General features: G+C 38.6%; 1 long non-coding RNA gene across 2 annotated transcripts; it reads left to right on the top strand.

Moving 5' to 3' along the window:
• The first annotated feature begins 7,618 nt into the window (after positions 1–7,618).
• LINC02435 (long intergenic non-protein coding RNA 2435) lies at positions 7,619–13,282 on the top strand. 2 transcript variants are annotated; one of them, XR_001741811.2, is made up of 3 exons: positions 7,619–7,813; positions 12,063–12,201; positions 12,884–13,282. It is a non-coding gene; the product is annotated as a long intergenic non-protein coding RNA 2435 (long non-coding RNA). The 2 variants fall into 2 exon arrangements; XR_001741812.2 differs by lacking the exon at positions 7,619–7,813 and adding an exon at positions 10,645–11,279.
• The last annotated feature ends 81 nt before the right edge of the window (positions 13,283–13,363 follow it).

Below are 13,363 nucleotides of genomic sequence, written 5' to 3' on the forward strand. Positions count from 1 at the left end.
TGCCCACAAGAGAAAGCAGGAAAGATCTAAAATTGACACCCTGACATCACAATTGAAAGAACTAGAGAAGCAAGGGTAAACACATTCAAAAGCTAGCAGAAGGCAAGAAATAACTAAGGTCAGAGCTGAACTGAAGGAGATAGAGACACAAAAAACCCTTCAAAAAAATCAATGAATCCAGGAGCTGGTTTTTTGAAAAGATCAACAAAATTGATAGACCGCTAGCAAGACTAATAAAGAAGAAAAGAGAGAAGAAGCAAATAGATACAATAAAAAAATGATAAAGGGGATATCACCACCAATCCCACAGAAATACAAACTACCATCAGAGAATACTATAAACACTTCTATGCAAATAAACTAGAAAATCCAGAAGAAATGGGTACATTCCTGGACACATACACCCTCCCAAGACTAAACCAGGAAGAAGCTGTATCCCTGAATAGACCAATAACAGGCTCTGAAATTGAGGCAATAATTAATAGCCTACCAACCAAAAAAAGTCCAGGACCAGATGGATTCACAGCTGAATTCTACCAGAGGTACAAGGAGGAGCTGTTACCATTCCTTCTGAAACTATTCCAATCAATAGAAAAAGAGGGAATCCTCCCTAACTCATTTTATGAGGCCAGCATCATCCTGATACCAAAGCCTGGCAGAGACACAACAAAAAAAGAGAATATTAGACCAAGATCCCTGATGAACATCGATGCAAAAATCCTCAATAAAATACTGGCAAACCGAATCCAGCAACACATCAAAAAGCTTATCCACCATGATCAAGTGGGAAACATCTATCTTCTTAAATGCAGCTGTACCTTACCATTGCCTGCCGAATTCTCCTTATGTGTTCAACCTCAGTGGAAGGAGCAATTTGAACTTCCTTGCCTATCAAACTGTTTTGTAATTTTCTGTTTACCTTTCTCCCCCATGCCACTGTGAGCACCTCTGAGGACAAAAACTGGGTCTTTCATTTTGCATACCCAGTATACAGTTGGCGCTCCATGTTGTTTGTTGAATGTGTATAAACTCATCTAAATATTACTTTGTTATATCGGATAGAATATAGATCTTAAATGACTTTTTTTTTACTTGCCTACTATTTATTCCAACATCATTTAAAAAAATCCTTCTGACTGGACAAGGTGGCTCATATCTGTAATCCCAGCATTTTGGGAGGCTGAGGTGGGAGAATTGCTTGAGTCCAGGAGGTTGAGGCTGCAGTAAGCCCTGACTGTGCCAGTGCACTCCAGCCGGGGCAACAGAGTGAGACTGTATCTCTCAAAAAAAAAAAAAAAAAAAGTCCTTTCTACACCCTTATGTGAAAAATTTACTTTGTCATATATTAAATTTTAACAAATAGTTGGATATAGTTCCTGTTTTCTATTTTGTTCTCTTGATTTACATATCCATTCCTGTACCAGTAACTCCCTCAGTTACACTCCCCCTCAACCCCCACTGCCCAGAATGTTCTCTGAGCTTTGTCCATGATTATTTTCCTAAATATATTTTGGTATTGAATGTTATGTTGATTTTTAATATTAATAGAAAAATCCCTTTAAGAGTTTTAATTGGAGTAATTATGCAATACTGAACATTATCTTTGAAAAAGCAGAACGTTTTTTAATTATAATTTTCGCATCTTGAAGTTGGTTAGTTGCTAGTTTAAGAGTAACCAGATAATGGAGAAACCACATCAATAGCTGATGTCCAGTGACAGTCACATTTTTAAGCTAATCACTCTAGTTTCTCAGGACAGAATTCATAGCCTCATGTTTCTCATGCCTGATAAATTCTTCCCTTCCTATGCAAAGATAATCCATCTAACAAGCTAACATATTTGTCTTTTAAAACTCTCTAATGGAGATAGACAACATCTTTCATGTGCCATTTTAGCAGTAGATGGAATATTATGGCTGGAAAGTTCTTTCTTTTGTCCAACCCTAGTATTTAAACACGAATTCAACCTATTCTCTTGGTGGAGATGAAAAACAGCTGGCCACCATCCCTTTTCCACAAATTTTTCTTACACTTTCAACTGGTAATAGTGAAATACATCTTCAGCTCAGTTTGACTAAAAATGTATTTTGTGGGGCCTTCTAAACATCCATAAATTTTGCACAAACCTTTCAAGCATTTTACATGATTAATCCCCTATGATTATCTAATACAAGATGTTGCACACTGCCTGAAGCTCAGATTATGAAGAGAGGCCTGTAACCTTGGGGGCGTCTGCATCGTGTTCACTGCATTATCAGTCTTTCCCATCGTTTGTTTGTATAATAGGATCAAAAACACAGATATTTTGTTTTTTACCTTGTTTATTTTAAACCCTTCGTGTCTTTTGGCTGGGAATAGAGTCTAAACTTTCTAATTTAAGCAAAGGAGTTTATGAGCGACTGGGGCAAAGATTTCATTCCATAGCCCGGCTAGGAATGAAAGGAGGAGGGAGATGGAAGGAGGGAGATGATTTGGTTCATTGATTTCTCTTCTGAGTCCATTTATTTCCAGTTCTAGCCCCTGATCCCTATCTGCCAGGGGAGTAGTTAATCATTTTTCTCATATCCTCTGGCTCTCAATAAGTGCTCAGGTGATCTGATTTAAGGTATGCCTTAAGTTTGTGCAAGCCACTTACATGAGCTCATAGTTACAATTTATTTCAGGTAAAGTTATTGATAGTATATAAGGATGATACAACTTGGTTTACATTATTATGAAATTTTAAAATCTGATTAATTTTACACAAATAGAGCTTTTTGTTGTTGTTGTTTTCTTAATTGCTGAGAACCATAGCAATGGAAGTTCACTCCCACTCCTACTTTTAGGGAAGATTTTGGTAAACGATTTCAGACAGCTGAGTTTTAGGCCACACTGTCAATCAAACAAAACAAAACAAAACAAAAAAACACTATCAAACTTATCCACTTGGACCACTGTTTACCTGCTTTTCCTCCATTTCTCTGACAAGAGCCTATGCAGAAACGTGAACAATACAGGTCAGCCTTTAAAAACAAATAACTTCATAAGAAGTGAGCACATTCAGGGAGTACGTCCCTGGGCTGCAGACGTTCAGCCCAGCACATGTGGTGCAGAGTCTGTAGAAGACATAAGGGAATGGAATGTGTTCTTCCACAGGAGTGACTTTGGGAAGCTCTATACTTATTTCAGTGATGCTGCCAATACTGAAGATTCTTTTTGGAACTCCTCTTTAAGAAACACCTTCAGGCTTTCTATCTCAAAATATTTCCTAAGTCTATCAGTTTTTTTTGGTCACCCCATGGCCAATGCCCTAATTAAGATACTTAGCATCTCTTAATCTTGAATATGGAAACATTTTCTCACTTTTTTTTTTTTTTTGAGAGGAAGTCCCGCTCTGTCACCAGGCTGGAGTACAGTGGTGCAATTTCGTCTCACTGCAACCTCTGCCTCCTGGGTTCAAGTGATTCTCCTGGCTCAGCCTCCTGAGTAGCTGGGATTACAGGTGCGTGCCACCACGCCCAGCTAATTTTTGTATTTTTCGTAGAGATGGGGTTTCACCATGTTGGTCAGGATGGTCTCAATCTCTTGACCTTGTGATCTGCCTGCCTCGGCCTCCCACAGTGCTGGGATTACAGGCGTGCCTGGCCTGCTCACTGGTTTTATGCCCAGTTTACACCCCTTCAATTAATTTTTCTTGTTGTTGCTAGAGGGATCTTTTTCCTGTGACCATATCCCTTAACGTGATGGTCAGCGCTTTCTACCATCTGGTCTTGTTCTATTTTCCAGGCTTTTCTTCTCCCTATCCCCTCCATATGAATCATACTGCTATGAACATTAGTGTGCAAGTCTTTGTGGGGCTGTATGTTTTTGTTTCTCTTGGGTATATACCTAGGAGTGGAATTGCTTGGTCATATGGTAACTGTGTGTAACATTTTGAGAAACTGCCAAACTGTTTTCCAGAGCAGCTGCATCATTTTACATTCCCACCAGTAATGCTTGCGGGTTCCAATTTCTCCACATCCTTATTAACACTTGTTGTTGGTCTTTTTGATTATAGCCATCTCAATGTGTGAAGTAGCATCTTACTGTGGTTTTGATTTGCATTTTCCTAATAACTAGTGATGTTGAGTATCTTTTCATATGTTCATTATCCATTTACATATTTTTAAAGAGATGTTTATTTAAATCATTTGCCTATTTTTAAATTAGGCTATTTGTCTTTTCATTATTGAGTTTTAAAACTTCTTTACATATTGTGAGTACAAGTCCTTACTGGATATATGATTTGCAAATGTTTTATTGCCCTCTGTGGGTTCTTTTCATTTTCTCAATAGTGTCGTTTGAAGCACAGATATTTTTAATTTTGATTTAGCCTGACTTACCAGTCTCTTGGTAGCTTGTACTTTTGGTGTCATATATAAAAAATCATTGTGTAACCCAAGGTCACAAGGATTTACTCCTGAATTTTCTTCTAAGAGTTTTATAGTTTTAGATTTTTTATTTAGGTCTATGATCCACTTTGAGTTAATTTTGTGTGTGGTGTGAAGTTAGGGGTCCAAATTCATGTTTGTCATGTGGATTTCCAGTTGTCTTAGCACCATTTGCTGAAAAGACTATTCTTCCCCCATTAAATTGTCTTGTCCCTCTACCCCTATGTATTTTTATAGTTTAATGTCCTTATTTATGTTATTACTTTGACTTAGAATTATTTTCTTTTCTATCATTCTTCCTATTGACATTTAAGTATAACCTTCATCTAACTATATCAAGCTTATATTTAGATTTACCATCTCAATAAAACTTCTCTAACCACCCAAGCTAAATTATTGCTCCCTCCTTTGTGTTCCCATAAATAGTATTTATTTTATATCTTGATTATGACCTGTGTCTTCTTGTACTCTAATTAGCTGTGTGCACGTCTATCTCTTCTACTGCACTGTGTGTTCCTTTTGGAAGGACTTACTCATGTATGTGTGCCTGTGGCAACTGGTAAGTATTCATTAAGCAGTTGCTGATTAGGTGAATGAAGAAATGTATAAATGAACAAATAAATGAATGTCCTAAATAAGAATACATTTCTATACTATGGCAGTAGGTTCTGTTTTTTAAAACAACCAAGAATCTTAGGTGAATAAGGAAAATACTAAAATGAATGGTGGTGGGTATTACCATTTCAGACCAAAGGCAAACTCTGAAGATGGTTCCAAAGGACAAGACCCTCATTACTTAGTCCTAACATTTCCTTTCAAAGTTAGCTATCTTTCACCAGTGTAATATGAAGTATAACACCAGGAGTGGGATTATGATCTAGGGGATGGTACAAACCTCTGCTTAACCGACACCTCTCACATTAATTTAATGATTTTTCACAGTGCTTCCCTCTCCCACTCTATAGCCCCTAAGTACATGCTTAGTGTCAGTATTCCACATTATACTCCAGAAGCTGGATGCCATTTCTAGAAGGTCACATTTCGAAAGCCAAGCCATGCCACCCACTCTGGGAAAGCACTTTCTGTTCAGGCTCTTCTGTGGCTATTAGTAAAGCCTAGTTGACTTTACTTGGCTATCATGAAGTAGGTTATACTGGAGGACAGGAGATGGGTTGACAGAGGCAAGAGCTTGTGGTGACAGAATCAGAGCTACTGCTAACAGATGTTGTGTCCTATTTGAATGCCATGGAAAAATACATTGCTCTTTTGCGGGCATATAGGGTCTTCTGGTGCGTAGCTATGAAGGCAAACCTAAAGAGCTAGTGGTCAGGAAAATCAGGCCCAGCTCTAAGCCTGTGCTTAACCAGGACTTCTAGTGTAAAACAACTAGTGCTGAGATAGTGGAATCCCATTGTAACCTGTTGTCCAGAGATGAGAAAACACCCATATTATTGGCTTCCTCTGTCACAATGAGAGGGCTCACTTTACACCACTATGTACTTGGGGATATGATTTGATTTGCAACATAACTGAATCCATGAGAAAGCCAAGTGTGGGACTCATGAATTTTTACTGTATTTCTTCCATGTTAAAGCAACAAAAATTCATAAGAATCTTTTCTGCATCATCAAAAAAAGTCAAAATGTCAGCCCTGTATAAGCACGTTCTTCCCAACATATACATGTAGCCTCTGAACATCTGCAAAGCAGCATTGCCATTGAAGAGTTTGCTGGTGTTTTGGAACAAGTGAATAGCAGCCAGATAGCATAAAGAGCAAGGAAAACTTTCAGCTTGTAGACTCACAGATGGGATTTCTGCTGAAATGATTAACAACTATTGTCAGATCTGCAAGTAGTGACCACAAAACACCTGCTCTCGTTTCACGTGTTTAAATTCACATTTATTAAAATGGGCTGGGTGCGGAGGCGCCTGCCTATAGTCCCAGCTACTTGGTGGGCTGAGGTTGGAGGATCGCTTGAGCCAAGGAGGTCAAAGATGCAGTGAGCTGAGATTGTGCCACTGCACTCCAGCCTAGGTGACAATGTGAGACCTTTCTCAAAAAAAAAGAAAAAAACCCATTTATTAAAACAAACAATAGTTCATTTATGTAACAAAAATGTAATCATCAAAATAGTTTTCAGAATTCATACAAGGTTTAATTAACATGGGCAAGAACTATATTCAGTTACTTAATGTAAATCTGTGTTAGAATTAAAGAACAAATACTAACAGTTATTCACAGGTGAGATGAATAACTGAAAAAGTCCCCAATTTTTTAGGTTTCTATTAGGCTAATTTACATAAGTTAGAATATCTAAATTGATTAGAAGTGTGTGGTAAATGAAAGGTTGGATGATTTTCATGGATCTTGCTGTTTATCCAAGTATGGCATGCTTAGCAAATCCTAATAACAGATTTGCTTTGAAAATCAAGATAAAGGCCAGGCATGGTGGCTCACGCCTGTAATCCCAGCACTTTGGGAGGCTGAGGTGGGTGGATCACCTGAGGTCAGGAGTTCGAGACCAGCCTGGTCAATATGGTGAAACCCCGTCTCTACTAAAACTACAAAAATTAGCCAGGTATGGTGGCAGGCACCTGTAATCCCAGCTACTTGGGAGGCTGAGACAGAAGAATTGCTTGAACCCAGGAGGTGGGGGTTGCAGTGAGCTGAAGATTGTGCCATTGCACTTCAGCCTGGGTGACAGAGCGAGACTGACTCAAAAAAAAAAAAAAAAGAAAATCAAGATAAAACTGAAAGCAACTTATGTATTTCCTACTTATTTAATACTTTTCTATTTGTTTAGTCATAGGAAAAAGGCATATGCAGCCATTAGGCATATACATACATTACCGTGCACATTACTTTGTGAACCTCTATTATTTACCAGCAGCCCAATATTATTTCACATTTGAAGCTGTCTGCCTGAGACAACGGAGAATGGTATATCAGTAACTTATGAGGTGCCTATGTAAGATAGAAACTTAGACTAGATGAGTGAGTCTCAAATGTTGGGATACCACAGAATCACCTGGGGAGCTTGTTAAAAATACAGATATCTTGGCTCAAGAGTATCTGTATTTTGACCAAGCTCACCTAGGTGGCTGGTGTGTACCAATATTTGTAAAATATTGAGTTTGGTGACCTATAAAATCTTTTTAAACTCTAAGATTATATGAGCCTACAAAACAGATATATATGTGTCTTCAAAGACCTCATGATATCAAACTTAATCAATTAAAAGAAAACTTCTTTTGAAAGTCTCTTATAAAGGAAACCAATGTTTTAGCCATTCTTCTTTGTTCCTAGTTGTCCCTCCAGTGAGTTTGTGTCACTCTTCACAGTCTGTATTTCTCCTGCTTACATGTGATTCCCACATGTTCTACAGAGTCTAAAGGCATATGAGGTAAGCTTTATAAAACAGCTCAGTGTGTTACGGCCAAACGTGCCTCCTTTCCATTGTGTCAAATCACCACCTGAAAAGGGATGAGGCAGATCCACTGACAACTAATCAGAAGGTTTTTGTGAAATAAAGAGAAAGTGCTGCTTGCTTTAGAAAGTATTGGTTTTCTCTTGCTTAGTTCTAGTTACACCCAATAGCAATGGCAGAGGATTTGATTCAGAGACCCTAGGAGGTTGCGGGGCTAAGCCTGAGCAATTCCAGACTGTCCTGCCAAAGCCCATGTGGACAGAGATATAATTCCTCTATTTGCTCCTTGCCAGAAGGCTAGGACCTCTTTTCTGTATTAGTGGAAATTAAATCCATAAGACATGGCAATGTAAAATAAAACTCAACAAGGGAGAATCAAATGCTACTTAAGAAAATACTTTTTTTTTTCTAATTTAACTTTCTACTTCCCCAGCAATAAGAATATAACCCCAGTGAAGCTAATAATGCCTCTGGAATGACATTCTTTTGTGAACCGTGAAGAAGAGAATATTCTATTTTATAACATTGAATGTAAAGACTCATGTCTTTGCCCCACGAATAAGAATTACACGGCCTCATTAGTAAGGAAGAGCTCTGTTGCTAGTTTTTTAATTACTGGCTTACAGTAACTTATGAGAACTTGCTGGCACAGGAAGAGAAACAGTTGATTCTGAACAGGCTATGGCTTTAGCATCAAATTGCTCACATACTGTAAAACAATTATTTCACTAGTAGAACCAGAATATTATGCCTGCCTTTCTCCCCGTCTCCATCACAGTTTATGATTCACCTCTTATTGCATTTCTCTTAAGGCATTAGGGAATCTTTTATGGCAGAAACATTTTATGCAGAAAGGCAAGTTCCCAGAAAACAAAATCCTGTGTGTATATACTTGAGTACATGCAATTCCGAAAGGGAGAAAAACATGACTGAAGTTTGCTAAAAGAGGATTATGCTAGCTAAGTTTATCATCTTAATTACTGCAGCTGACTATATAATCAACAACTTGGACTGATTAAAGTTATAAGAACATTCATTATGGAAAGGAAATAAGTCTAGCCTGTGGCTGCTCAACTAATGAATAGTGAAAACAGGATAATTTCAAACTGGTGAAAGAAGAATGTATGTAACAAGTATGCTAGACTATAGAAAAGACTCGAAGCCCTTACCGCAGTCAGCCCATGTGACTGAAACGTTACACTATTCTTTAATGGACTTGAATTGTAGGACATGAAGGTTTGAAATGAATGTGTGAGCATATTAAACCAAGCAAAATTTCATAGATTTAAATTAAGAAAGAACAACTTTGGCATGGAATAGTAAAACCCAACTTTTTTTTTAAACCTGACTGTAAAAAAAAAAAAAAAAAGTTTTAATTATTCTTAACCAGACATGAGAGGGAACACATCAGACTGACTTTGGGGTCTTTTTTGAGTCTACAGTGCTCCACCCTCCACACCTGGTTTAAAATCACTGCCAGGTGAGCTGCTGGTGATGGGAGTGTGTCAAATCTGCATTTGGGTGGGGCAGGAAACAAGATTGGAAACTACTGGCCTAAACTGTGAGATTTTAAAACATCTTCCAGACAATTTTATTTTTATTATTCAACTACTTATATGTGGTATAAAAGTAAGCTTCAGTCAGCTGCTGAACTAAAATGGTTATACATAATTGAATTTATAAGTAATGAGGGTTTATTTATTTATTTATTTGAGATGGAGTCTCACTCTATCACCCAGGCTGGAGTGCAGATGCGCCATCTTGGCTCACTGCAACCTCTGTCTCTCAGGTTGAAGTGATTCTCCTGCCTCAGTCTCCCAAGTAGCTGGGATTACAAGCGTACACCACCATGCCCAGCTAATTTTTGTACTTTTAGTAGAGACGGGGTTTCACCAGGTTGGCCAGGCTGGTCTCGAACTCCTGACCTCAGGTGGTCCACCCACCTCAGCCTCCCAAAGTGCTGAGATTACAGGCAAGTAATGAGGTTTTAGTTAAAAAATGTATTTTGTTTCAGAAGCATACATAGATATAATATAGAAAATGCAGATGAATGAAGTAAAGGAAAATATATTTTATCCACAATCCCACGACTTACTGTCAGTGTCATTTTGGATATACATAAGTGGCGGCTAGTCTGAGACTAATGGTCCCATTTGCCCAGGACAGAGTGCGGTTTCCTGGACACGGAACTTTCGGTGCTAAAACCAGGAAAGTTTTCGGAAAAGTGGGAAGAGTTGATCACCCTATGGTAGTCTTCTACCATCTGAACCCAGTAACCCCAGGCAACTCATAGAAACATGAGATAAAATGGTTGTTTTCAGCTACTAAGTTTTGGGGTGGTTTGGTTCCCTCCCTGCCTCCCTTTCTCCCTTCCTCTTTCTTCCTTTCCTCCCTTCCTCCCTCCTTTCCTTCCTCTCTCACTATTAAATTATACACATAGCTTTGTAATCTGATTTAAAAAATAACTGTATATTACAAACATGTTTGCATGTTTTAAAATATTTCTGTACAACATCAATTTTAATGGTTACATGGAATTCTCTTTTTTTTTTTTTTGAGACGGAGTCTTGTTCTGTTGCCCAGGCTGGAGTTCAGTGGTGTGACGTCAGCTTATTGCAACCTCCGGCTCCCTGGTTCAAGCCATCACAGGCCTCAGACTCCTGAGTAGCTGGGACTACGGGCACGCACCACCACACCCGGCTAATTTTTCTTATTTTTGTATTTTTAGCAGAGACGAGGTTTTGCCATATTGGCTAGGCTCTTCTTGAACTCCAGACCTCAGGTGATCTGCCCGCCTAGGCCTCCCAAAGTGCTGGGATTACAGACGTGAGCCACCGCGCCCAGCCTGGAATTCAACTGGAGTGTACCACAATCTGTTTAACAAGTCCCATGTTGTCAGATAACTATGTTGCTTCCCATTTTTTACTCTTACAAACAATGTCCTTATAGCTAAATCTTTACATACAAACTCCATGATGGCTTCTTTACGATTAATTCTTAGAAGTGAAATTGCTGAGTCAAGACTATTATTTTGAAGGCTTTTAATGAGTATTGCCAAATTGCCCTTCTTACATGTGCTATTTTACAGACCTACTGACCATATATGAGAATACTCATTTTGCAAACAGTGGGTTTGCAACAACAAAACAAATTCCCAAACTCTGTCAACTTGACAAGTTAATGAGACTTCCTTATATTCTACAGTCTGAGGCACACCACAGTGAAATCTCTCTGGTCAATTTAGTATTGTGCCATGAGAATATGTTCTGAGCAGCAGCTCTTGATGTTTACATAAACCATTACTTAAGCCCTCAACACCATCAAATATTTATTTAACATCCACTGTGGGTTAAGAATCGCAACCCAGGGCCCCAAAGCAACTTACAAGCTAAAGGAAGGAGTGGAGGCACAGTTCCTTGTCTTTGCCTTGGGAATATTTTTAGTAAGTTGCTTCTTTTCCTTTTCTCTCTAGAGCTTTATAAAACCAAATTATGGGAAAATTATCATGCAATTTAAAAAATTAAACATTTTACATTGTAGAATATAAAATACTTTCATAAAAGAACATAATACGTATATATTTACATTAAAGAAGAAAACATTAATGGTCAGGCGTGGTGGCTCACGCCTGTAATCCCAGCACTTTGGGAAGCTGAGGCGGGTGGATCATTTGAGGTCAGGAGTTTGAGACCAGCCTGGCCAACATGGTGAAACCCTGTCTCTACTAAAAATACAAAAATTAGCTGGGCATGGTGGTGGGTGCCTATAATCCCTGCCACTCGGGAGGCTGAGGGAGAATAATCGCTTGAACCCAGGATGCAGAGGTTGCAGTGAGCTAAGATCGCGCCATTGCACTCCAGCCTGGGTGACAGTGCAAGACACCATCTCAAAAAAAAAAAAAAAAAAGAAAAAAGAAAAAAAAAAGGCTTAAAAAAATTGGACTTCTATGGGACCACCATCCAACTTAAGAAATAGAACATTGCCAACACCTGAAAATCTCCACCCTTTCCCACCTATCCTTATGGAATTTCAATCTTGTTCTTGCCACAGAACGGTAACCATCATTATAACTCGAAGATGATCATTTCCTTCCTTTTCCCTCTTGTTCTACCATTGTTTAGTTTTGCCTGCTTTTACATTTTATATCAATGAAATCACAATGAATTATTCTTCTGATTTGCTGTTTTTGCTCAATGTTGTGTAAGATTCATCCATTTGGTTGCAGGTAGCTGTATAACATTTCACAAGATGAATGTACCACAAATTTTAATCCTTCTATTGTTGATGGATTTGGATTATTACCAACTTTTGGCCTTTGAGCCAGTCTAGGATTCACGATGTAACCATGGAGCAGATGCTTTGAGGTAATAAACTTCAAATTAGATGCATAAATAAATCTAATCTTTTAAAGATATTAGTTCCTTTGTGACAGATATTTCCCCTCCAGTGCTTTCAGCTTTGATGACTGAATGGTAGTTTCATTGTGAGAATCCTATTATCTTGAATCCTTGTCAGTGATAGCTGTTTAATGAGGGTTTTTTCTCTCCTCCTACCTGGCACTGTGTGTGCAAGTCATCTCACTCAGGAAACACCCACGTGGTGGGGATGGCCTTCACGGCAACTGTTGTGCTCTTTATTCTTGCCACACTTGCTGTTCTCAGTGAAAAACTGAGAGTTCCTGGAAAATGTATGGGTTCAGAAATGGGATGGTCATGAGGTTAAAGGACTTGGCCTGGGAAGGAAAAGAAGAAATATCATGTTTTAAAATATCATCTCTAACCAAAGTAGAGATGGATTGAGATTATAACCACTGTGAAGGGTACAGATTAAACAATTTTGGACATGGGTTGATGGTTTGTGAGAGGTTGGGTACTGGGTAGGGCAGGTACATTACGTCATTATCTTTAATTTTGTGTATGTTTAAAAATTTCCACAATAAGAAGTAAAAAGGGAGTTAACTAAGACAGTAAATTAAAAATGTTAACTCCATTTCTAGTACAAAATGGACTTAATAAGTGTTATCTGCTCACCTTCCCTTCCATCTAGGTGAATGACATTTCCAGCATTGAAGGACAGCATAGACACGGAAATACATTTTATGGCGTGCCAGTGGGTGTGGTGGGTCTCAGGGATGCAAGGTGGGTGAGACTCCCTGTCTGTTCCTGAGGAGCTCTGGTGAGTGGGAAGGAGAAGGGAACACTCGAAGAGCATGGCAGCCTTAAAGAGGCAGTGGGCTGAGGAGGCTCGCTCTGTGTTCAGAAATTGGAACAGGGTTGTAGAAAGGATGCTGTGTGGCTGTTAAAGTAAACTCCACCCATTTTAGAATTTTCCTTGGAAGCGGCCTCAATGTCTAGAAAAGAGTGGGAAAAATCTTTCCCCTTTTCAAATTTGTTCTTTTTTGAGCCATGCAACTTTAATTCTAAGAATAAAACATTCATGCTTCTAGTTGTAGTTTCCTTGGACAGCTAAACTGTGGATAAAATAGGAATTTGGGTGCTAACCCCAAAATCTAAATGCTACTGAAGG

This window comes from Homo sapiens, chromosome 4, assembly GCF_000001405.40.
Source record: "Homo sapiens chromosome 4, GRCh38.p14 Primary Assembly".
NCBI lineage: Eukaryota > Metazoa > Chordata > Mammalia > Primates > Hominidae > Homo > Homo sapiens.